The 25238-nt window shown below is 48.7% G+C and overlaps 1 protein-coding gene across 2 annotated transcripts, besides 5 other annotated features; it reads right to left on the bottom strand.

Annotated features, from left to right (window-relative positions):
* Window positions 1-222: 222 nt before the first annotated feature.
* DEF6 (DEF6 guanine nucleotide exchange factor) lies at window positions 223-24176 on the bottom strand. Of its 2 annotated transcripts, NM_022047.4 has the most exons (11): window positions 24042-24176; window positions 12184-12324; window positions 11350-11535; window positions 9456-9692; window positions 9222-9368; window positions 3995-4103; window positions 3523-3821; window positions 2304-2470; window positions 1977-2175; window positions 1020-1110; window positions 223-807 (listed from the first exon to the last, which is right to left on the bottom strand). In NM_022047.4, the coding sequence occupies exons 1-11, from the start codon at window positions 24135-24137 to the stop codon at window positions 584-586; spliced, it is 1896 nt and encodes a 631-aa protein (NP_071330.3). In that variant the 5' UTR covers window positions 24138-24176; the 3' UTR covers window positions 223-583. The 2 variants fall into 2 exon arrangements, with proteins under 2 accessions (NP_071330.3, XP_047274794.1); XM_047418838.1 differs by lacking the exons at window positions 12184-12324; window positions 24042-24176 and having other exon boundaries at window positions 9456-9780.
* Window positions 8949-9448: an enhancer, noted in NCBI's record as "H3K4me1 hESC enhancer chr6:35280323-35280822 (GRCh37/hg19 assembly coordinates)". NCBI's record gives its function as "activates a minimal SCP1, AML or CMV promoter by ChIP-STARR-seq in naive H9 embryonic stem cells {active_cell/tissue: H9 hESC(naive)}" and the evidence as "EXISTENCE:reporter gene assay evidence [ECO:0000049][PMID:30033119]".
* Window positions 18610-18809: an enhancer, noted in NCBI's record as "active region_24398". NCBI's record gives its function as "activates an Ori minimal core promoter by ATAC-STARR-seq in GM12878 lymphoblastoid cells {active_cell/tissue: GM12878}" and the evidence as "EXISTENCE:reporter gene assay evidence [ECO:0000049][PMID:35858748]".
* Window positions 18808-19102: an enhancer, noted in NCBI's record as "tiled region #9100; K562 Activating DNase unmatched - State 5:Enh". NCBI's record gives its function as "activates a minimal TATA promoter and a strong SV40 promoter by Sharpr-MPRA in K562 cells {active_cell/tissue: K562}" and the evidence as "EXISTENCE:reporter gene assay evidence [ECO:0000049][PMID:27701403]".
* Window positions 18808-19139: a biological region, named in NCBI's record as "Sharpr-MPRA regulatory region 9100".
* Window positions 19010-19139: an enhancer, noted in NCBI's record as "active region_24397". NCBI's record gives its function as "activates an Ori minimal core promoter by ATAC-STARR-seq in GM12878 lymphoblastoid cells {active_cell/tissue: GM12878}" and the evidence as "EXISTENCE:reporter gene assay evidence [ECO:0000049][PMID:35858748]".
* Window positions 24177-25238: the final 1062 nt, after the last annotated feature.

The following is a 25238-nucleotide window of genomic DNA, read 5'->3' as shown; positions in this document are numbered from 1 at the left end:
CTATTTTACCAACGTGGGAACTGAAACACAGAGATATAAAGAAAATTGACCAAAGTCAATCAGTTAGTAAGTAGCAAAGCCAGGTTCAGAACCCAGGCAGTCTAGCTGCAGGGTCTTTCTTAACCACTTTATTATACTTTTACTGCTCTTTGGAACCTATAACGGGGCTTGAGGGAGGAAGGGAGGAAATGGCAGGAGAGATGGACAGACCTGAGCCAATAATTCATTCTAAGAGCAGTTTTTATTTAGAAATGTGCTTCCACAACTTGGTGGCCACCTGGGGGCAGGTAGCCCCGGCTTGCTTGTTCTCTCTTTCCTAGCCCAAGAATCGGGTCCTTGGGTCTAAAGCACAGGGCCAAGTTCTCAAGGATCAACATCCCAGACAGCTCCCATGGTCTGGGGCTTGGAGCTGGTATGAAGGGTGAACCAGGTTCCATCCTGGACTGTTTATGGTTGGAGGGCCTGGGCCCCTGGCACCAGGACCTCAGCTCCCTCTCCTAGTAAGAGCTGGGATCACCCACAGGCCAGCTGTGGCCAGGTCCTGGTGGATATGACATTGGGAAGAACAAGGGGCTAAGAGAGGCTAATTTTCTGGTGCTGGATCCAGTTTATCTTCCTGAGGGGTGGAAGCCGGGGCAGGAGCCTCATCCCCACCATTGAGGGACTTCTGCTGCTCATTGCTGTTGGGCGAGGGGGTCCTGTTGCCCTGGGATCCCCAGCGGGTCAGGCGCTTTAGGGAGGAGTCACGGTGGGCAAGCAGAGGGGGCTGGAAGCCTGAGAAGGAGCTGCTGGTGACCGGACGCTTATCTGGCAGAGAGAAGGCAGGCAAGTAAGGAGAAAGGCATGCAAAGGTGAGAGGCGAGGGGCCTTGCCTCAGCCCTCAGAGGAGAGGGGAGCCTCCTGACTGCCAGTCCTGCTTTTGCTGGCCCTGGGAGATCTGGAGGTCTCCCAGGGAGACCTTTCTCCCTCCTTTCTCCCTCCCAGCTCCAGGGAAAGCTCCAGAGTCTATTCCTTCTCACCTCCAGGCTCAATTGGATGCATCAGCCGGTTCATCTGGACATTCCAGTGTTTCACGTTGGTGCTGGCCTGGCGCAGTTTTCTCTGGGCAGCCTGTGGGGACAGGGCCAGTGGGGAGTGATCAGAACCATCATCCATGGCATGGAGTCTTGATCTTTTCAGGTTCGCAGGCTGCTTAAAATCTGACCAAGACTACTGATCATCTCCCCAGAGAAAAACCATATATGCTCATAGAGTTATTAATACATACATGAATAGAGTTTGCCTCCAATTTCATGGGACTCATGGACTTCCAAAAGATAAAATGTAACCATAATAATAGTTTCCGTTTATTGAGCAGCTAAGATGTGCTAAGCATATTTATTATCTTATTTAACTTCCAGAGCAGAAGTTAACAACAAAAAAGTTCAAAAGAGGTTAAGTGACTTGCCCAGGGATACACTTGAGCTCTAAGCCACTGCACTACACCACCTTTCCAGCACCTAATCCAAGAACCTCTGTTCAACATTTCACGGAGCCATTAGCAGTGGTTGTGAGGTGGGGGGGATCATGGAGGAATTTTCCCTTTCTATGTTCCATATTTCTGTGTTTGAATTTATGGAGATTAAAGCTCCAAGGAGTAGAGCCAAAGTACAAGGATAGCAAGACAGGGGCTTGGAAGGGTAGAAGGAAAAATTTTTCCCCAGATTAATAATGATGTGAACAAAGATAGCAGCAAATGTTTCTTCAGCACTTACTACGTACTAAGTATCATGTATCATCTCATTTAATCTTCATAACAACGCTATTACCAGTTTCCCAGGTGAGAGACTAACTCCAAGAAGTTTGGGCATTTGTCCAAAGTCACACAGCCAGCAGCTGCTAGGGCCAGGGTTTGAGGGAAGGCAGCCTGGCTCCAGAGCCTGTGCCCTAATGAGCTCACCCTGCCAGCCTCCACCCCATCCCACCCCAGGCCTCACCTCCACATCCTCGTCAGCCCTCTGCCGGTTCTGCCGCACCTCCTCCAGCTGCTGCTGGGCCTGCTGCAGGGAGCGGCTCTGCTGTGCCATCTCCTGCTGCAGCTCTTCCTTCTCCTGCTGCGCCCGTTCGATGTAGCGCTCCTGCTCCTCCTTCAGCTGCATCAACTGCTTCAGCTTCTCTTCCTCCTCTTCCAGCAGTCTGCCGGGTGAGTGTGTACTGTGTAGCCTCTAGTGCCAAGGCACCTTGCAGGTGCACAGCAAGCAGGAAAACTGGGGTGTGTTCCAGGAGGGGTGGTGAGAGAACCAGAAGAGGTTCCTCAGGCCTACCTGGTCTGAGCGATTCGCACAGATTCTTCATCTCGCCGAGCTTTCACCTCTAGTTGCAGGGCCTCCTGCAACCGCTGCTGCATCTCCTCCAGCTCCTTGATGCGCTGCCGCTGCCGGGCAGCCTCCTCCTCCTTCAGCTCCATCTCAGCCTGCATGGAGGCCCGGGCCTGTGGAGGGGGGAGGTGGTGGACCAAGAGCCAGGTCAAAAGGGGCACGTGGGGGCGGAGGAGGAGGGGGTGGGCATGTTGCTAAGCTGCCTAGGGGTGAGGGTCTGGGGAACTCCTTCATGTTGGGGTTTCCTGATCTGACCCCTTTCTGAGAGCCTGACTGGAACAGATAATGGTCGGTGAACAGATGCCACGTGGGGGAAACGGGCTCAAGTTATTTCCTTCCTAGTACCAACCTTAATCATAATTATATAACATGTAATTAAACAACATTATATAATTAAATAAGATATAAAAATATGGTCATCTCCTTCCTAGCACTAACTTAATAATTATTATAATATATAATAATATGTTATAATCATGGCTGATGCTAGGAAGGATGTGACTATAACTACAATTATTACAACAAAAAGTTACTGGACACTACAAGTGTTTCCTCATTTAATCCTCACCGTACCTCTGTGAGCAAAGTTCTATTAGCATTAGCATTTTACTGATAAGGCTCAGTAAAATGAACTTGCCTGGGATCACGGGGCTCGTAAGAAGCAGAGCTAGGATTGAATCTACGTGTTTCTGACTCCAGATCCAGGTTTCTTAAATCCTAAATCTAATTGCCTCTGCACACCTAGTCCGCCTCCATACGCGTCCCGCTTGCCTCTCAAACTGGTTTCACTGTAAACTTAGTTCAAGTCTAGTCCAAACTTGGTCCAGTCTAATCCCCAATCACACGGTCTTCAACGGCTCCTTCTGCCCAAGCCCCAACCCACAGCCAAGGTCTCCGAACCAGGCCCCATCCATCCACGGGCTCGGACCTCGCCCCACACCCCTTTCCTAGCCCCAGGTTCTGTCCCTGGCGGAAGCCCCATCCCAAATCTCTTTTTCAAACCCGCGGACTCTGTCCCAACAATCCCTCATTTCAAGCTCCACCCCAGTGCACGCCCCTCAACCCAGGAGCTCCGCCCTCTGCCCAGGCCCCGCCCCCGGCGCTCCGCCCCTGGCCAGCCTCCCAGCCCACCGGTCCCGTCCCCGGCGCCGGGAGCTAACCCCACCTGCTCCGCCTCGCGCAGTTGGCCCTCGAGCGCCTGCTGCAGCTCGCGGTGCTGGCTGCGGCGCCGTTCCTCCTCCTCCTGCAGCAGCCGCTCGGCCTGCCGCTGCGCCTCCTGCAGCAGCTCCAGCTCCTGCAGCTTCCGCTCCTTCTCCTCCTGCAGCTGCTGCAGCCGCAGCAGCTCCTCTTCCTTGGCCGCCCGGCGCCGCTCCCGCTGCTCCCGCTGCTCGCGCCGTTTCTGCTTCAGGTCCTTGTGTAGGGACGTCTTCCCCTCGGCCTGCAGCCGGATCGCCATCTGGATGGCTGCCGAAGAGCGGGAGCGGGTCAGTAGGATCCTCGCACACGGCCCGAAAGGGGCCTTAGGAGTTTCCCGAGTCCACTCTCCAACCTCCCGCTGGACAAAGTATTATCACCCCCTTTTCACAGATGAGGCGCCTAAGGACCACCCAGACCCAAGCCACCTAGCGAGCACTCACCAGCTGTCCACTCCTGGCGCTGGCGCGTGTCTGAGGCGCTCATCTCATACGTGCGGTTGGCTGTCTTCACACAGAACATGCAGCGCTTTCCGTCGCGGTCTGGCAGCACCTGGCACAGGGTAGGTGGCCGCAGCCAGGCTGGCCTCACTGGGTCAGGGCCCCACCTGCCCCAAGGGTGCTCCAGCTCAAGCCCCTAGCCCTCCTGGCTATCTTCCCTGGGGACCCCACTCTGCCAGGAGCCTGCATGGCTTGCATCATAAGTTATGGGGGACTTAAGTCCCCACAACTCTGTAGCCTTTGCTCTTTGAAGGCTAGGTGGGTGCGTTTCCATCTTGCTATTATTCCACGGGGCCCAGTACATAATCGCCACTCAGTGTTTATGCAGATCACGCTTGAACACTGCCAGTAACAGGGTCCTCACTATCCATGACAACTCACTTCCACATAGCCCTGCTTGTTAAGAGTTCATTCATTCATTCCGCAGATGTTTTTGGAGTGCCTACTGAGTGCCACTCACTGCTCCAGGGGTTGGGATACTAAGGTGTGCCTAACAGACCAAATCTCTGCCTCCATTAAGTTTACATTCTGTGGAAAATAATAGCTACCACATTCTAGAGTCTGTACTAGTATTTTATATGCATCATTATCTTCACTCCACCTATACAGCTTTGCCAGGCAGGCATTATTAGCTCCACTTTACAGAGAAAGAAACTGAGGCACTAAGAGCTCCAGGATTGTCCACCTCACACTGTTAGTCTGTTAGTGATGAGGCTTGGACTTCTGCGTAGATCCGTGCTCCTTTCCACAGTAACACCTTATGTGACAAAATTAGACAGATCCTAGGATGGCTATGATAATTTTTTAAAAGGAAAAACAACTGTTGGTAAGGAAATGGAGAAACTGAGATCCTCACACACTGTTAGGGATATTATCCAGCCTTAAAAAGGAATGAAATTCTGATATATTTGACAACATAGATGAAGCCTGAAAACATTTCTAAGTAAAAGAAACCAGACACAAAGGGACAAATATTTTATGATTCTATTTATGTAAGATACCTAGAAAAGGCAAATTCATGGAGACAGAAAGCAGAATAGAGGATACTAGGAGCTGGGGTCAGGGAGTATGAGGAGTTATTGCTTGGTAGGTACAGAGTTTCTGTTTGGTGTGATGAAAAAGTTTTGGAAATAGATAGTGGTGATGGTTGTACAATATTGTGAGTATAGATCTTTCACCATGATCAGATGGGATTCATCCCAGGGATGCAAGGATGGTTCAACATGCACAAATCAATATGCATGACACATCATAGTAACAGAACCAAGAGCAAAAACCATATATGATCATTTCAATAGACCCTGAAAAAGCTTTCTAAAAAAATTCAACATCGTGTTATAAAAGCCCTAAAATATTGGGTATAGAGGCAACATACCTTAAAATAATAAACGCTATCTATGACAAACTCACAGCTAACATTGTAATAAATGGAGAAAAATTGAAAGCCTTTCCTCTAAGATCTGGAACAAGACAAGGATGCCCACTTTTACCACTTTTATTCCATGTAGTATTGGGAGTTCTGGCCAGAGCAATTAGGCAAGAGAAGGAAATGAAGGGCATCCAAACTGGAAATGAAGAAGTCAGATTAGCCTTGTTTGCAGATGGCATGGTCTTCTACTTAGAAAAATCTAAAGACTCCATGGGGCGTGGTGGCTTACACTTGTAATCCTAACACTTTGGGAAGCTGAGGTGGTTGGATTGCTTGAGGCCAGGAGTTCGACACCAGCCTGGGCAATACAGTGAGATCCTGTCTCTCTCTTAAAAAAAAAAAAAAGGCCGGGCACAGTGGCTTATACCTGTAATCCCAGCACTTTGGGAGGCCGAGGTGGGCAGATCATCTGAGGTCAGGAGTTTGAGACCAGCCTGGCCAACACGGTGAAATGCTGTCTCTACTAAAAATACAAAAAAAAAAAAAATTAGCCAGGTGTGGTGGCAGGTGCCTGTAATCCCAGCTAACTTGGGAGGCTGAGGCAGGAGAATCACTTGAACTCGGGAGGCGGAGGTTGCAGTGAGCTGAGATCGTGCCATTGCACTCCAGCCTGGGCGATAAAAGCAAGACTCCTCCTCCTCCTCAAAAAAAAAAAAAAAAAAAAAAGGGACTCCAACAAAAAACCGTTAGAGTTGATGAATGAATTCAGTAAAGTTGCAGGATAATTCAACATACAAAACCCAGTAGCATTTGTATACGCTAACAGCAAACAATCTGAAAAAGAAGTTGAGTGCAATCCCATTTCCAACAGCTACAAAGAATGTAAAATACCTAAGAATCGATGTAACCAAAGTGAAAGATCTATACAAGAAAAACTATAAAACTGATGAAATAAATTGAAGAGGATGCAAAAAAATGGAGAGATATCCCATGCTATGTATTGGAAAAATTAATATTGTTAAAATAACAATATTACCCAAAGCAATTTATAGATTTGGTGCAATCTCTGTCAAAATAGCAAAGGCATTCTTCATAGATATAGAAAAAAAATCCTAAAATTTATACGGAACTACAAAAGACCTCAAATAGCCAAAGTAAGCCTGAGTAAAAAGAACGAAGCTGGAGGCATCACATTTCCTGACTTCAAAATACACTACGAACTGGCCACGGTGGTACACACCTATAGCCCCAGCTATTCAGGAGGCTGAAGCAGGAGGATCCCATGAGCCCAAGGAGACTGAGGCTGCAGTGACCTATGATCATACCACTGCACTCCAGCCTGGACACCAGAGAAAAATCCTGTCTCTAAAATAAAACAAAAAAACAAAATGTAGTACAAAGCTATAGTAACCAAATCAGCATAGTACTGGCATAAAAAGAGACACAAAGACCAATGGAACAGAATAGATAACCTAGATATAAATCCATGCATTTACAGAGAACTCATTTTTGACAAAGGCTCCAGGAACACACAATGGGGAAAGAACAGTCCTTTCAATAAATGGTTCTGGGAAAACTAAATAACCACATGCAGATGAATGAAACTAGACCCCTATCTCTCACCATATAAAAAAATCAAATAAAAATGGATTAAACATTTAAATGTAAGACCTGAAACTATGAAACTACTAGAAGAAAACATTGGAGAAATATTCCAGGACATTGGTCTGGGCAAAGAGATTTTTTGTGGAAGACCTCAAAAGCATAGGCAACCAAACCAAAAATAGAAAAATGGGATTATGTCAAGCTAAAAAGCTTCAGGACAGCCATGGAAACAATCAACAAAGTGAAGAGACAACCCACAGAATAGGAGAAAATATTTGCAAAGTATCAATCTGACGAGGGATTAATAACCAGAATATATAAGGAGCTCAAACAACTCTGTAACAAAAAACCAAATAATCCAGTTTAAAAATGGGCAAAAGATCTGAATAGATATTTCTCAAAAGAAGACATACAAATGGTCAACAGAGATATGAAAAAATGCTCAATGTCACTAATCATCAGAGAAAAGCAAATCAAAATTAAATGAGATATCATTTCATCCCAGTTAAAATGGCTTTTTACAAAAAAAATAGAGAACATCTTTTTTTTTTTTTTTTTTTTGAGATAGAGTTTCACTCCTGTCACCCAGGCTGAAGTGCAATGGTGCAATCTTGACTCACTGCAACCTCCATCTCCAGGTTCAAGCGATTCTCCTGCCTCAGCCTCCTGAGTAGCTGGGATTACAGGCGCCCACCACCATGCCCGGCTGATTTTTGTATTTTTAGTAGAGATGGGGTCTCACCATGTTGGCCAGGCTGGTCTCAAACTCCCAACCTCAGGTGATCCACCAGCCTCGGCCTCCCAAAGTGCTGGGATTACAGGCATGAGCCACTGCGCCTGGCCAAGAATATCTTTTCTGTAAAAAGATGCTGGAGAAGACGTGGAGAAAGGGGAACCCTGATAAACTGTTAGTGGGAATATAAATTAGTACAGCTACTATGGAAAACTGTATGAAGGTTCCTCAAAAAACTAAAAATAGAACTATCATATGATCTAGAAGTTCCACTGCTGGGTATATATCTAAAAGAAAGTAAACCAATATATTGAAGAGATATCTGCCTTCCCATGTTTACTGCAGAGATATTCATAATGGCCAAAATATGAAATCAACCTAAGTGCCCAGAAGTGGATAAATAGATTAAGAAAATGTGATATATATAATATTATTCAGCCATAAAAAGAATGAAATCTTGTCATTTGCAACAACATAGATGGCACCATAGGTCATTTTGTTAAGTGAATAAGCCAAACACAGAAAAACAACTATCGCATGTTCTCACTTACATGTGGGAGCTAAAAAAGTGGATCACATGAAGATAGAGAGTATATTAGTGGTACCAGAGGCCAGGAAGTGTGGGGGGAGGACAAAGAGAGGTTGATGAATGGGTATAAACATACAGTTTGACAGGAAAAATAAGACCTAGGATTCAATAGATCAGTAGGGTGGCTACAGTTTACAATAATCTATTGTATATTTCAAAATAGAAGAGAATAATTTGAATGTTTCTAGCATAAAGAAATATTTGAGGTAAAGGATACCTAATGACATGATTTGATTTTTATAAAATATATGAATGTATTAAATTATCACATGTACCCTGAAAATATGTACATCTGTTATATATCAAAAGAATTTTTTAATTTCATGAATGTATTTAATGCCACTGAATTGTACGCTTAAAATAGTTAAAATGGGAAGTTTCATGTTACACACACATATATACATATTATTTAAAATAGTAAAGACGCTTGTGTTTTAAGCCTCTAAAATAGTGATGAACACAAGGGAGGAAACAGAAGGGGAAGACAGAGGAGAGGGGTATGGAAGGAGAATAGGGAAGTACAGAGTTGCTAAAGGGAATGGAATATGGGTGAAGAAGAAAAACCTTTAAAAGGGATTTTTAGAAAGATTTGCTGTGTAGTATAGATATAAGCCACTTCCTCTGAAATCTTGAGCAAATTCCATATTATTCACCAATTACTTTGGTGCTTGAGTTGCAGTTTTAGTTTTAAGTGCTGACGTGGATGAGAATGGCCTTGAGGCATCCGGATATATTTGGGTCACACTAATCTAAGCAGGAATTTGTGTCACTGTGGCTTTTCTCCATTTGCCCCTCTCCTGACCCCCTTGTCTTCTCATGCCCCTGAGGACACTCTGGGCCCTGAGATGTCCTCCACCCCCATCCTGCCCCTCACCTCCACGCAGCAGTGTGCATCCAGCGGGATAATGCCCCTTTTCTCTTTGCACTCTTCACTCCCAAAGTAGCAGAGGCAGCTGGGCTGCAGCTGGAACCAGCGTTCGGCCCAGTTCCTTCTCAGGTGCCCTCGCTTCCACAGGTAGCCCTGCCAGCCGGAGTTACGTCAGAGGCTTCCCAGGCCCCCCTTCGCCCTGCACCTTGTGTGCTTCCCCTAGTTCCCAGCTTGCCTGACCTGCTTCAGGACATCTTGGATGAGCTCCTGGTAGACCTCGTGGATGGCCATGCTGAGGGTGTCCCGGCCCACGCCCCGCAGGCAGCGGCCCGAATTGAAGAGCTCCAGGAACTGCCAGACGCTGAGCCCCCCGGTGGTCTGGGCCACCTGGGCCTCCTGGGCCAGAAGCTCCTCCAGCTCACCCAAGCTCACCTCCAAGCTCATGCTGCTGAGTACCTTTTTCAGCAGGTATTCCACCTGGAGCAGGAGAAGGAAGGCCTGGTAGCTGCAGCAGGTGGTGTTGCCAGCACCAACACCAGGGAGTGCTCTATCTGGCTCCCAGAGCCTGGGCAGAGGGAAACAGGGGACAGAGCGTTGAGGGGGCCAGAGGACCGAATGTTATGGAGCCAGGGAAAAGACCTGGGAGAGGATCCTGGAGCCCCAACCCCAACTCAGGTTTTCTCTCCCCGTCCACAACCTCCAGTCCCACTCCTTCCTGTCTTAAGGGCAAGGTGAAGGGGACCTGAGATCTGGGGTCCAGAAAGAGGCAATAAATCACAGAAAGTGTCAAGGGAGTGCAAAGGCCCTCTCATCCAATCACTCATTTTGCAGATGACCAAAAAAAAGCCCAAAGGGGGAAGTGACTGGCTCTAAGTCACACAGCAAACTGGGGGCAGCCAGAACCCGATTCTGATCTCCTGAATCCCATTCAGGTCCTTATTCCAAGCCCCAATCCCCAACCCTGGGGATCTTTCCCTTGTGGGAGAGGAAGGGGATTTGGGGTAGGGGTAGGCGTTGGGGAGTGGGGAGTAGAGGTAAGCTGGGCAGGGACAGGAAACCTGTTACAGAGGAACCGGAAGTGGTGGCTGGGGTACATCCTGCTGCAGTTGTTAACTCTGTATGTTGATCGCAGAAGCAAACAACCTCCTGGCCTCCGAGGCCACCTTGCCCTGACTGGCAGGGGTCTAACAAGGGCAGCCAGCCAAGTGTATGTGCAGATGGACACATGTCCCTCACCTGCCCCAGCAGCTTTTTGGGACACTCTGTTTAGGACTTTCTGGGGGATCCTGGGTCTTGTTTGGGTGTTTAGTAGAGGGCACTGGTTCAGGGCTCGGGTGGTTCCCTTCATCACCCTTCCCACAAACAGAAGCCAGGACAAATGTGAGTGGAGCTTGACATGCTAGGGCTTCTTGTAAGTACAGAAGCCCCCTCTCCTGTAAACCCCACTCTAAAGACCTAAAGTCACCCTGGCATCTCCACAGCCACCAAGAGGACTAAAGGGTCACAAGGCCAAATGGGCAGGGGAGGGAAGTGAGGATAAGAGGGAGGGTACAGGTGGATGGGAAAATGCCTTCCCTGGCTTCACCCAGGAGTAAGGAGATAGGGACCAGATTCCCAGCCTTTTCTCCCAGGATGCCCTATCCCTGGGTCTCTTAGCTGAGTTTGTCCTGGCTTTCCAGAAGAAAGGCAGAAAGGGAAAATCTGGAACCAGAGTAACCTCCTGTCTCAGAAAGGTCTCCCCTTGCCTTGTAAAGCATCCTTCCTGTCCTGGAAGAAGTGGCAAAAGGTAAAGGAAAAAAAAGCACCCTTCCTAGATTGCCAGTAATGCTCAGTAATGTATCTGGCATTTAGACCTCTGTGTAAACAGAATTTGCAGATCATTTTCCTACAGTGAGGACCAGCAGAACCCTCATGAAAGTGTAATTTCAGTTTTCCTGGAAGAAGGCAAAATTACTCTGACACAGGCAGTTCTAGGCATCTGGAGACAGCTGGGTGAGGACAGATACCAGCATGGGAAGATGGTAAAGAAAGAAAGGGGATATGGGAAGGCACCAAAGGTGGTTTGGTCTCATTCATGGTTTTGCTTAGGTCTGGTCCCAAGTGATTCAGTCCCTGGGGCTGCCATCACCCTCACCTCATCAGGAACCATGATCAGAGGGTACTTGTCCTCAGACAGGAAGTTGAAGAGGCACCAGAGGCGGAAGGCATCCTGATTGGAGAGCATACTGTTCCCGTTGCTATCTGCCCGATAGTTCTTCTTGGCCGTCAGCGTCCAGCACAGCTCATCAAAGTGCTCTTTAACAAAAGCCCCCTCCTCCACCTGCCACCAGGGCTGCAAATCAGCTGACTGCATATCTCAGCTCTACCACGACACTAGGCTCCAGCTGGGTTTCTTGGGTTCATCTATGCCCCTGCTCCCCACCTGGCCAAGTCCAGGGCCCTAACTCAAGGGATCCCTGAGCTGATTACCAGGTAACTAGCTGGTTCCAACCACTCCACCCTCCACAACACACCCACACCCACCCAGGCCCCCTGACAACAGATTAACTCTAGTCTTTCAGCCCAGAGGACAAAGAAGGAGAAACCCAGCAGGAAGCTAAGAGCCAAGAACCTGGAAACACAGTGACAGATTGGAGGAGTTGGAGGGGGAGTTCAGGGGGACAGTCTGGGAAGGGTGGAGAACCCTGGAAGCTGGAGGAGGGCCGGGCAGGGATTCGGTGGAAGGTTATGGGTAGGGTGGGGCCCACCTCATTAGAGATGAGGGACATTGAAGGTGAATTGAGGGGGACAGGAAGGGGGCAGGTGGCTGGGATGTGAGGGACGTGATGGGACAGCAGTCACGGACAGAGCAGGCAGAAGTAGGAGTTTATGGCAGGGGCGAAGAGTTGGAGTGGCAAGGTATTAGGCTGCTGGCCAGGCTGGAAAAGTGGGGAGAGGTTACAGATGCTCCCTACAAGCTGGGCCCCACCTTGTCCAGGATGTACTTGTTGAGGTAGGGCATGTATCCCTGGCTGGACACAGGGCCGTCATCATCATCTCGGAAGTGTTCCTCCAGGGCCACGGGGTCATGGGGGATGTGCAGGACCGTGTACAGGTTGTGGGACAGCACCTGGGATAGAGTAGAGTGGCAGTGTGTCTTTCTGCACCCCAACCAAAACTGGGCCAGAGGACTGCTCCCCACCTCTCTGCTTGTCCTCACCCCATCCTGGCTGAGTTCTCTACACACACTGTTCAGTTCAGTAATAACTAAAACTTATATACTATGTGCCAAGCACTGAGCTAAAGTACTTTACATATCATTTGCTTAACCACCATAACAACTACTCATATACCCATTTTACAAATGAAAACTCCTGCAGCCCTGAGATATTTCTCACCCAAGGTCACAGCTGGCAGAACTGGAATTCAAACCCATGCAGTTATACTCTTAGCCACTTCATTAGGTATTGGTGTCCTCTTTCTACAGACAGGGAGACTGAGGCTCAAGGGATTCAGTAACTTGCCAAAAGACCCACACTGAACAAGAGCTTGGAGTTCAAATCCATCTCCATCAGATTCCAAAGCCCAAGTGCTTCCCACAATGCTAGACAGTTTGCAGGGTTTGCAGGGACTTAGTCTGCCACCCCAGGGCAGAAGCTGCCAATTTATCATGGTTTCCATCAAAGACTCAGTGTCCTGGCTGCAGTGTGCCTATCACCTAAGCGTGTCTGCTCTGGGAGAGGAGAGGGCTCAAAGAAGGGTCATGAAAAATGGTCCATGACATGGAGAGGGCAAGGCTTAGAAGGGATAGTGGTCATAATGGTGTGCAGGGGAAATGTGGGTTTGTTGAACAAATCCATGATATTAGAATAAAGGGGTTGAAATCTGAAATCTGGTGAAAATAAAATCTCCTTGGGGTAATTCTATTATAGCATTTGTCACAAGCAGTGTAAATGATTAAAAAGTCACTAGTTACTATTGCACACTTACCATATGCCGGTCACTGTAGGAGGTGGTTTATTTAATTAAAACTGTTTTTTATTTTATTTTATTTTATTTTATTATTTTATTTATTTTATTTTATTTTATTTTATTTTATTTTATTTTATTTTATTTTATTTTATTTTGAGACGGAGTCTTACTCTGTCACCCAGGTTGGAGTGCAGTGGCATGATCTCAGCTCACTACAACCTCCACCTCCTGGGTTCAAGTGATTCCCCTGCCTCAGCATCCTAAGTAGCTGGGATTACAGGCACCCACCATCACATTCAGCTAATTTTTGTATTTTTAGTAGAGACAGGGTTTCACCATGTTGGCCAGGCTGGCCTCGAACTCCTGTCCTCAGGCGATCCGCCCACCTCGGCCTCCCAAAGTGCTGGGATTACAGGCCTGAGGCACCATGCCCGGCCAAAACTTTTTTTTTTTTTTTCGGTAGAGACAGAGGTCTGCATATGTTGCCCAGGCTGGCCTTGAACTGCTGGCCTCAAGTGATCCTCACATCTGGACCTTCCAAAGTGCTGGGATTTCAGGCATGAGCCACTACACCCAGTCAAAGCGCTTTTTATACCCCATTTCTAGTCTTCACAATCACCTATATACGCAAATATTATTAAGCCTGTTTTTCAGGTGAAGACACAGAGGTTTGGAAATTTTAAGAGTAAATGGCAGAGCTGAGGTTGAAACTAAATGTGCCTGGTTCACAGGTTGCCTTCCTACTAGAATACTGATGTCAAGTCTCCCTCCTCCGTTGGATTGTGAACTCTGGAGACAAGGTCTCTGTTCATCTTTATGTCCCTCAGCATCTATGTCCTCTTTTGTACATCAAGTGCAATCAATACATGCTATATTGAAGGGCTTCTTCCACCACCAGCAGTTCACCTTGGAATCAGTTCCTAGGAGGCAGGAGCTAGCACTGTCTCGGAGATGGTGTGTGTGCCAAGCCTTCATTTTATTCTCTTTTCAGAGAGGAGGGGGAGAAAGTATTGAGACTTTGCCTCAGTGTCCTCCTGGGGCTCAGTTTTCCTTGGCAAACTGGGAAGTGGGAGATCCCAGGAAGGGAGTATTTCCTTTTTTTCCCTCATTTCCCTCTGGGCAGTTATCCCTGGAGTTTTTGGTTATGTGAGCCAATAAATCCCCTCTCCCTTAAGCCATTTGAGTTTGGTTTTATCACTAATTCCAGGAAAGTCTTGCCTAACACATCTGTGGTCATAGAATACCAATCCCCACTCTAAGGGGTGCCACTGGCTCAATGCCTAGCACTTAAAACCCAGGGTGACCACCTCAAGAGAATAATGCCAACATCCACTGACCACTTCTGAAGTGACAAGTGTTCAAGTTTTATATATTCTCATCTGCTGTCTCTTGGCCTCTTTTCAAACTACCCGTGTCCTTATCTTTTTTTGAGACGCGTTCCAAATCTGCCGCCCAGGCTAGAGCGCAGTGGCGCGGTGTTGGCTCACTGCAACCTCCGCCTCCCAGGTTCACGTGATTCTCCTGCCTCAGCCTCCTGAGTAGCTGGGATTGCTGACGCGTGCCACTATGCTCGGCTAATTTTTGTATTTTTAGTAGAGATGGAATTTCGCTATGTTGGCCAGGCTGGTCTCAAACTCCTGACCTCAGGAGATCTGCCCGCCTCGGCCTCCCAAAATGCTGGGATTACAGGGCGTGAGCCACTGCGCCCGGCCACCCCAGCATTTCTAATCATCCAACCTACAGACACTCATGGGAGAGATACAAGAATGCTCATTAAGCATTGTTTATAATATGAAAAAATGGAGACAAACTGAGGCTCTTCCAGTAGGAAACAGGTATACCATGTCAGGAACCACTGTATGTAGCTGGAAAGATTTCACTTTTCCCACTTGTGTGCTCATGGGCAAATGTTTAATTCTCCAACACCTTAGTCTCCTCCTCTGTGAGGATAATGATAGGGTCTGCTCCAAAGGCTGTTTTGAGTGAAGAGTACCTGGTGCATAGTGCACTGCTTAATAAAAGTTGTGGGTGATCTTTGTTATGTTTATATGAACAGACATTGAAAGATATGCATACTACACTGGCATGTAAAAAAAGCAAGCTACAGAATGAAATGTTTGTCAAATACATGTGCAAAGATTAGGTCGAATTATATGAAACTAGTATTTCAGTAGGTCAAAACAATCAAGTGTCAGAAATTTCATATGGTTCAACCTGTTTATTTGTATACAGAAAGAATCTAGAAGACTCACAAACTGTTAACAGTGATCACCTCTCCAGAGTGAGGGGAGAAACTTTCATCTTTTTTTTTTTTTTAAGACAGAATTTCACTCTTGTTGCCCAGGCTGGAGTGCAATGGCGTGATCTCGGCTCACCGCAACCTCTGCCTCTCGGGTTCAGGTGCTTCTCCTTCCTCGGCTTCCCGAAGAGCTGAGATTACAGGCGCCCGCCACCATGCCTGGCTAATTTTTGTATTTTTAGTAGAGACGGGGTTTTGCCATGTTGACCAGGCTGGTCTCAAACTCCTGACCTCAGGTGTTCCGCCCGCCTCGGCCTCCCAAAGTGCTGGGGTTACAGGCATGAGCCACCGCGCCCGGCCAACATTATATTCTTCTTTACTTCAAAATTTTTTTGGGCCGGGTGCAGGGGCTCACGCCTGTAATCCCAGCACTTTGGGAGGCCGAGGCAGGTGGATCACCTGAGGTCAGGAGTTCGAGACCCACCTGACCAACATGTTGAAACCCTGTCTCTACTAAAAATACTAAAAATTAGCCAGGCATTGTGGCAGGCGCCTATAATCCCAGCTACTTGGGAGGCTGAGGCAGGAGAATCAGTTGAACCCAGGAGGCAGAGGTTGCAGTGAGCCGAGATTGTGCCATTGCACCCCAGCCTGGGCAACAAGAGTGAAACTCCATCTAAAAATTAAAACAAAAACAAAAACAAAAAAACAAATTTGGCCAGGCGCAGTGGTTCACACCTGTAATCCCAGCACTTTGGGAGGCCCAGGTGGGCGGATCACTTGAGGTCAGGAGTTCAACACCAGCCTGGCCAGCATGGCGAAACCTCATCTCTACTAAAAATACAAAAATTAGCTGGGTGTGATGGCAGGCGGCTGTAATCCCAGTTACAGGGAGGCTGAGGCAGGAGAATTGCTTGAACCTGGGAGGTGGCGGTTGAGGTGAGCCAGGAAGGATAGTGCCACTGCACTCCAGCCTGGGTGGCAGAGTGAGACTCTGTCACACACACACATACACACACACACCCCCACAAAAAAAAAATTACCACTAACATGTTTTAATTTTATAATAAATTCATTTTTATTTTTGTTTATTTATTTAGAGACGGGGTCTCACTCTGTTGCCTAAGCTGGGGTGCAGTGTCACGATTTCTGCTCACTGCAGCTTCCGCCTCCCAGGCTCAAGCGATCCTCCCACTTCAACCTCCCGAGTAATTGGGACTACAGGCATGTGTCACCATGCTCAGCTAAGTTAAAAAATTTTTTTGTAATACCAAAATTAGCCGGGTGTGGCGGCACACTCCTGTAGTCCCAGCTACTCAGGAGGCTGAGGTGGGAGAATTGCTTGAGCCCAGGAAGTCAAGGCTGCAGTGAGCTGAGATCGTGCCACTGAACTCCAGCCTGAGTGACAGATCCAGACCCTGTCTGGAAAAAAAAAAAAAAAATTCTTTTTTTTCATAGAGATGAGTTCCCATTATATTGCCCAGGCCATGGTGGCTCATACCTGTAATCCCAATGCTTTAGGAGGCCGAGGCAGGAAGAGCCCTCCTGGGCTCAAGAGATCCTCCTGCCTCGGCCTCCTAAAGTGTTGGGATTACAAGTATGAGCTACCACAGCGCAGCCCCGAATTTCTTCATTAACATTATATTCTTCTGTGTGTTTTCTTTTTTTAAACCAGGAGAATATATTGTCTTTAGGATAAAATTTAAAACAATAGGGATGAAAAAGGGTGCCATTAACCCAGTTATTAATTTGCCCTATTAAGTTGCTCTATAATAATATTCTTTTGCTGTTCACTGTTTGTGTGAGCATTTCTGGGTGTTCTACATTCCTTGAGGGCAGCAATGACTCTAATCTCAACCTTGACTCCAAAGATAGTATAATGTCCCCCATTCACTGAATGTTTCTGACTGACTCCTAAAGTCTAACTCAAATGCTCCAATGGTTTCCCATAATTTTCAGAGTAAAAGTTCGAGTCCTTCCACAGGCCTCCAGGCCCCATGTGACCTGGCCTGCTGCACCTTCTCTGACCTCATCCCTCTTGTTTACTTGCCTCCAGCCATTCTGCCTTCTTAATGTTCCTCCAGCAGGTCAGGCATATTCTTGCCCAAGGGCCTTTGCACTTACTGTTCCTGCAGCCTGGAATATTTCTCTCCAGGTCACTGCATGGCTCAAACCCTTTCCTCCTCCCTGTTTTTACTTAGATGACACCTTCTCAGGGAATATATATTCCCTGACCAGGTGGAATATCCTCTGATCACCTTATCTTTTGAGACTGGGTCTCACTCTGTTGCCCAGGCTGAAGTGTAGTGGCACAATCACAGCTCACTGCAGCCTCGACCGCCCTGGCTCAGGTGATCTTCCCATATCAGCCTCCTGAGTAGCTGGAACTGTAGGCGTGCGCCATCACACCCGGCTAATTTTTGTGTGTATATGTGTGTGTGTGTTTTCTTTTTTTTGCAATGTAGTTTTGCTCTTGTGCCCAGGCTGGAGTGCAATGGTGTGATCTCAGTTCCCTGTAACCTCTGCCTCCCGGGTTCAAGCAATTCTCCTGCCTCAGCCTCCTGAGTAGCTGGGATTACAGGTGCCTGCCACCAACATCCAGCTAATTTTTGTATTTTTAGTAGAGATGGGGTTTCAACATGTTGGCCAGGCTGGTCTCGAACCCCTGACTTAGGTGATCCACCCGCCTCGGCCTCCCAAAGTGCTGGGATTACAGGCAAGAGCCACCGTGCTGGGCCTAATTTTTCTATCTTTTGTAGGGACGGGCTTTCACTATGTTGCCCAGGTTGGTCTTGAATTCCTGGGCTGAAGCGATCCACCCGCCTCAGCCTCCCAAAGTGCTGAGATTACAGGTGTGAGCTACCCTGCCCGGCCTGATCACCTTATTTAAACCTGTAACCCAATCCTGCCTGACCTCCATGATCCCTACCCATTTCTGCTTTATTTTCTTCCATGTCATGTATCATCTTTCATCATATTGTACATTTCATTTAGTTTATTATCTGCCTCCTCTGACTAGAATGTCAGCACCACAAGGGTAGAAACATTTGCGTTTTTTTCACTGTGGTATCACGGGGCCTGGCACCTAATGGATGCTCATTAAGTATCTCTTGAATGAACTTAAACACTTCATGGGAAGAAGCAGACAAAATACAAAAGCCAGACAGAGATTGACTAAATCCCAGTGAGCATATTAACCTTACTGGGCTTCAGTTTTCATCTCTCTAAAAAGGGAGTCTTAGGAGAGGACCTATGAATGCCCTCCCCGACCCAGGACAGAACCTGCCACATAACAGCACAGTTATTTGAGCTTAGTTCTGTCGCCCTGTACTGTCCCTAAGACCTGCACCTCACCTGCACTTTTGCCATTGGATCCTGAAGAACCCAGGGCAGAGACTCTGACCCCCGCGTGCTGTCAGATAGTAGGACAAGGAAGAATTAAATGCCCAGACACTCAGGGCCTCTCTCCAGAGAGCTGGGCCGACCTCAGACTGTCAGCTTCCTGTGCCTGGGTGCGGTAGGGGTTGGGGGTGGAGAGAGGGTGTGACTAGGGGAGGGGTCATGCTGCAAAGGAAATGGCAGTGACAGAGGAGTTGTGAGCAGGAGCTCACTTGCAGATCTCCATCAGTCCTCAGCCCTGGATCAGGGGACTCTCATTATCCTCATTTTAGAGATGAGGAAATCAAGGCTCAGAGAGAGGAAGCGTCTTGCCCAAGGTCTGACTCCAAAGCCCTGCTCTTGATCTCTACAGTGCACTGGCCCTGGCTGAGCACCACAATCACCCAGAGAACTGGTGAAACTGAAACATGCCCGCCCAGCCCAGACCTACTGACTCAGAGTTTCCAGGGGTGGGGTCCAGGTGTATTTTTCACAAGTTGCCATTTGGGTTTCCTCAGAGAGGACTCCCACAGTCTCCACAAACCCAGGGAGCCTCTGGCCTCTGAGTTGGCAGTCACTGACCTTTGAGATGCTTCATCTATTCACTCTTTCCTCTGGAGGCATGTAGGGGAGTAGTTCTCCTCTCAGGACTTGGGGGATCCTCTAAAACTCAAGTGTGGGGATTGGGGATCCTAAAAACTCAAGTGTGGGTGTCAGGTCCATGTTGGCAACAGTCAGCAAGAACTGATTCTGTAGTTTCCAGCCTTCAGGATCCCCAGGGTTTGGGAATCCATAAAAGCACCCAGCAATGATTTCAGAAAGAATTCTCTCCTAAATTGACTTTTTTTTTTTAAGAAAGAATCTCACTCTATTGCCCAGGCTGGAATGCAGTGGTATAACCATGGCTCACTGAAGCCTTGACCTCTCGGGCTCAAGCGATCCTTCCACCTCAGCCTCCAGAGTAGCAGGAACTATAGGCAGGAGCCATCATGCCTAATTTTTTTCATTTTTTGTAGAGTTGGGGTCTTGCTATGCTGCCAGGGCTGGTCTCAAACTCCTGGACTCAAGTGATTCTCTTGCCATGGCCTCCCAAAGTGCTGGGATTACAGATGTGAGCCACCTTGCCCAGCAAGGTCTTTAAATGAATCTAGGTTCCAAGTGATCCTTTTAAAAGACACAGATCCAGCCAGGTGCAGTAGCTCACGCCTGTAATCCCAGCACTTTGGGAGGCCAAGGCAGGTGGATCACCTGAGGTCAGGAGTTCAAGACCAGCCTGGCCAACATGGCAAAACCCCGGCTCTACTAAAAATACAAAAATTAGCTGGGCGTGGTGGTGGGCACCTGTGATTCCAGCTACTTGGGAGGCTGAGGCAGGAGAATCACTTGAACCTGGGAGGTGGAGGTTGCAGTGAGCTGAGATTGCACCACTATACTCCAACCTGGGTGACAGAGCAAGACTCTGTCTTAAAAAAAAAAAAAAAAAGACACAGCTCCTTTTAAGAGTTACCAAATGTATTCTAGTGGGTTACTAGAAAAGCATAACTACTATCATGGAGGAACACTGGAAATTTTAAAAGGTGGGAATCTTTGGATTAGCTGTGTCACCTGCTGAGAGCAAGAAGGGGCTGTAGGGGTTGGGTGTGGGCATCAAAGGAGACAGAGGCCCAGTTAAGGGAAAGGAGAGGCTGCATCATAGACCAATTTTACCTACTTGAGGTACAGAATTTATTCTTTAGTTTTGTAGGACAGCTTGGTGATCAACCCCCTGGTTTATAGATGAGAAACTGAAGATGGACAGTGACTTGCTTAAAGTCACCCAGATGGGGAGCAGTACGGATCCAAGCCTGCGTGGTTCTGAGTCAAGTGCTCTGCACATCATTAAATCATCCTCCCCTCCCTACCCACAAATCCTAGCCTGGGGAGACCAGTAGCACACAGGGGTCAGGACAAAGCTAATGATCCTAGCCAGCCAGCAGGTTTTTGGACTGGAGCTGTTCTTAACTTTTCCTCCACTAAGGAGAAGGTGGTTGTCCCTCTCCAGAGGAGGCAAAACCTGAAGCTCATTGATTCTCAGTGGGCAAGAGTCTCACTCTGGGCTCCAGGACTGCCCTGAATATCAGCTGGAGGTGCAGGAGACTGGAAGGCCCCTGTCTACCCTCCCTCCCTTCCCCCAGCTCCTGCCAGTCAAGGAGGAAGTGGTAGGCCTGGTGCCACCCAAAGATCCTCATCAAACCAGAGACACACTGCTCCATCTACATACCCCTTCACCCCACTGCCTGATAGTCAGTGGGGAAGGAGGCCAAATTATCAGCTGATCCTCCACTAGTTCTAAAATCAAAACTGCTCCCCTGGGTAAGAGGGTGTGTTCAGTAGGACACACATCATTCCCAAGGGCTCCCCTCTCTATAGCCCTCTGTCAGGATGGCTACCTTCCAAAGGTTTTTAGAGGCGGTTCTGGGAACCTTGCAAGAACTCACAGCCCTCAACTCCTGGGAAGTTTTGTGTTCAACCTAAATCCATCCTGGGCAGGAGTGCCATTCCTATTGGTTTACTTTCTCTGTTCTCAACCCAACTGGATGAAGCCATTGTACTTTCTACAAGAATTCAAAGAGAGAAAGAAGTATCTGGTTTTTCCCTCAAGCCTTCTCTTTTCCAGGAGAAACAACCCTACTCCTTGGGCTTTTCTCAGAGGACGTGCTGTTCTTCCTCCTACCCTCTGGCCTCATCGTGGGTTTGCCCAGGACAGCCACTGGGAGCCCGTCTACCAACACATTAGGGGAGAAGTGGCAAATGTCACGCACCGACACATCTTGCCCTGGGCTAGTGCAGGTCTCTTGCCAGGTTCCAACCCAGGACCCTAACGCTAGGGATGGTTTTAGTAACCAGCCCAGTGAGGTGGCTCAAGACTATAATTCCAGCTACTCAGGAGGCAGAAGCCAGAGGATCACTTGAGGCCAGAAGTCTGAAACCAGCCGGGGCAACATAATGAGACTCAGGCTCTAAAAAATAAAAAATAAAAAAATTAGCCAGGCGTGGTGGCATGTGCCTGTAGTCCCAGCTACTCAGGAGGCTGAAGTAGGAAGATCGCTTGAACCCAGGAGTTTGAGGCTGTCGTGAGCTATGACTGCACCACTGCACTCCAGCATGAGTGATAGAACAAGATCTCATCTCTAAAACAACAACAAAAAACCAGATTGACTCCAAGGTCTTTTCCCTCATCCCCAAGTCTTTTCTGGGGAGAGGTGGGCCCTGCTTGTATAACTCTCTCGTCTGCTTCCTCCTTTGCCTTTTGACCACTTCTCTATTACTCCTTTGCTTTGCTGGAATCCCCGCCCCCCAACACTATCACTACTTCCTCCTCTTCCAATATTCACTATTATGGGCTTGAAAGGAGCCCCGCCATTTCCGCCCCACCCCCACTTGGCCCCTGAGACTCCCACTGTTAGCCCAGGTTTCCAGAGTTGACAAGTTTTCTGTCAAGTAGGAGGGAACTCTATAATTGATCCTGTGTGACCAGAGATGTTGCTGGCAGTAGGTTCAATATGAGCTGTGATGAGGTACAGACAGTGGACAGTTCAAGCATGCAAGCTCTCCATGGAGTATTTCCCTAGAAATACGCAACCTGTGGGGATGAGGGAGTGGGTAGTGGCCCTTTTAGAGGGCAAGACAGAGGCTCAAGCTAGGAGGCTTTACTGGCTGATGGCACCAGGAAAAGGGGAGCCACTTAAAGGCTGTACTTTCCATGTGAAGGGCAGAGAGAGCCTGGAGAGGTCTCAGTGGCCACAGGTAATACAGAAGTGGAAAATGTTACCCTGGAAGCAAAAAGCCACGGGGGCTGGTATTGTCTGGCAAGATATTAAAGGGACAGGGTGGGAGGTAGGGGTGGGACACAGAGTTTGCAGAAATGGATTTTGGATGATCGACTTTTTTCCATTTATACTGAGGACCCAACCAAATGACATGATCTGCAATACAAGAGATTTAAATAGGATGTAAGGAAGAATCTGCCTGTTAGGAGGTTCTCCCTAGGTGACAAAAGATAGTAGTGGGCTCTCCTTCCTGGGGGAGTGAAATCATCTATTAGATGCTCACAAATCCAGGTAAGGAATTTAACATAGGACCAGTTTGGGATATTCAAGTTCCTCACATCCAAGTTCAGTAAAGTAGGGGGTTGGAACGGTGGTGGGGCACAATAACTGTTCTGTCCCATTCATCTCTCAGGTATCCAGCACCCTCTACCTCGGTCATTAAGAATGGAGGTTTCCTTGAGACCACACGTCTCCTTTGGAGGATGGGGCAGGGAGACACCAGTTTAGTGCCTAGCCACATGCCAGGCACAGAGCCTCACGAGGGGCACTCAAGTACTTGCAGAGTGAACGAAGGCACCCCTATGGCAGGTCCTAGAGAGCTGAGGCCTACCTTGCTCCTTTCCCCCAGTGTTCGCTGATTCTAGTGGCTGAGGGCCTTGCTTCCTCCCCACTAACTAGGGTAGGGAAGGCAGCACTACTGGAGGACTAGAGGAAGAGAGAGAAAAACTCCTTGGCCTCCCAGAAATTGTCTAGGCCAGATGATTGACTTCAGGACAATCATTGATTGGGATTTTCCTGGGCTTAGATTCTCCCCCTTCCCTACCTGAGGTCTCAAGGCCTAAGGTAAGTTTCCCAACCTGATATGTGTGGTGGATAGGGGGGTGAGCTGCGTAGCAGTATAATAGGGTCCTCAGTCCTCACCCACTCCGCAGCTCTGTCCCACCTGGCGGGCAGGGTTAGACAGGCCAGACAGGTTTGGGACTGGGGGCGGCCCCTTTATGCCTCTCTCAGCTCCAGAGGAAATGACTGCCAAGCACTGGCTAACTGTTTCTCTTGAAAGTCAGGAGGAAGCAGCAAGAAAGAGCACACTGCGTGCCCAAGCATGACTCTGTGGAGGTGTGTGTGCTCATCACACAGAGTCTGGGATGTGGCCTGGCTCCTGGCCCTCAGAACCCCATAATGGCCCTCAGAACCTCCTGGCCTCCAGTTGTGGGGCCCAGTTCTGCGCAAGGTTTCTGCACACACTTCACTAGGTCTCTGGAGGGTGGGCAGCGGCATCTACCAGGCTACGTTGGCCCAGTTACCCAGGACCAGCCCCCCGACCCCAGGCCCGGGACGCTGGATGGCTGGGTGCCCCTGGAGTGGCACAGTGTCCACACCTGGCTCCCAGGCGGCAGGGGCTGGTGTGGTGCATCTGCCGTCCTCCCCCGGGTCCCGGGTGCCCCTCACCTTGAGCTGGGACTTGGAGACTTTGCCACTCTTCTCCACGTCCAGCGCGGTAAAGGCGTACCAGATGGACTTGAGCAGTTCCTTGCGCAGGGCCATGGCTGAGGCGCCCGCCCGGCTGGGGGCGGCTCTGACACTAAGATCCGGTTTCAGGAAATGCAAACGGCTGCAGAGACCGCAGAGGTGCCGTGGTGGAGCGAGAGCACCACCTGCCTGCACATTGCGTGAGGCTCTGTGCTGTCGAGAACCCTGCCTGTTGTTCTGGCAGTGCTCAGAGGCTCCACTCCCTGCATGGGAACTGGGGACCAACTCTCCGAGAGCGGGAACCCTCGTTCTGTATCCACGTGGCTCCCGGGGCATGTGAGGCCCTTTTAGAAGCCTCCTCAGACCCGGAGGCTTCTGGAGCCTTCCAGGGCTCCCAGACGCAGCTTGCTGAGGGAAAAAGCAAGCTCATCCTGATATTGGGGTCAGACAGAGTAAAGGTCCAGTCCTAGTTCAACATAGGAGGCCTTGGGTAAGTTACTTAACCTCCTTGAGCAGTTTCCTCATTTGTAAAGCAGGAAAAATGCCTCCGTGTTGTAAGAATGTCTGAGAATGGACGTAAAGCACATAGTAGGCTCTGGGTAGAGCTTTTGGTGCTACTTAACATTACCATGGTGGTGGGACTCCATCCAAGTGGAAGGAAACAAAGGCAACATCACAAAGCTGGAGAAGGAAATGGGCCAGGGCACCTCTCCAGGTCAGGATGTGGCACTTGACTTGCTGGCTCCCTATCCCCTCAGCACTGGCTCTAAACGGTACTCAGAGCACTGCCCACTCTAGCCCCAGTAGCCCTGAAGACACTGGAAACTTCCTGAAACACATGGGGGTGAGCCTTGTGGTGCACCTCAACTTTAAGGGTCCCAGCAGCAGCAGGCTTGGGATTCAGGGCCCTCCATGTCAGTGCTTCCTTTCTTCAGATCCAGTGTCCAAAAGGACTGGGACACGCCCACACCAGGAATGGTGGTCACAGATGTTGAAGACATCTGCTCAGGCCAATTCTAAGACACCTCCCCCTACCCCCTAAGCCAAATAAAAATCCCTCCAAGTAAGGTGCTGGGAATACCTCCTGCCTGGAAGCACGCCCCCGCCCCTCTCTTCCCAAGGAGCTGGTGGCAAGAGTAAATGGGAGCTTTCTAGGCATCCTGGGAGAGGATGCCT

Source organism: Homo sapiens, chromosome 6 (genome assembly GCF_000001405.40).
Source record: "Homo sapiens chromosome 6, GRCh38.p14 Primary Assembly".
In the NCBI taxonomy this organism is placed as follows: Eukaryota; Metazoa; Chordata; class Mammalia; order Primates; family Hominidae; genus Homo; species Homo sapiens.
Note: the sequence above shows the minus strand (reverse complement) of the source record. Positions and strands in the feature narration are given on the sequence as shown.

Excerpts from the sequence above, each read along its gene's own strand:
- DEF6 (NM_022047.4), bottom strand. The coding sequence starts at position 24,137 with ATGGCCCTGCGCAAGGAACTGCTCAAGTCCATCTGGTACGCCTTTACC. Across the intron at positions 11,536-12,183 it reads ACAAGTACATCCTGGACAAG|GTGGAGGAGGGGGCTTTTGT; the intron begins GTGGGGCCCAGC and ends CCCTGGTGGCAG. Across the intron at positions 2,176-2,303 it reads GTGCGAATCGCTCAGACCAG|ACTGCTGGAAGAGGAGGAAG; the intron begins GTAGGCCTGAGG and ends CTCACCCGGCAG.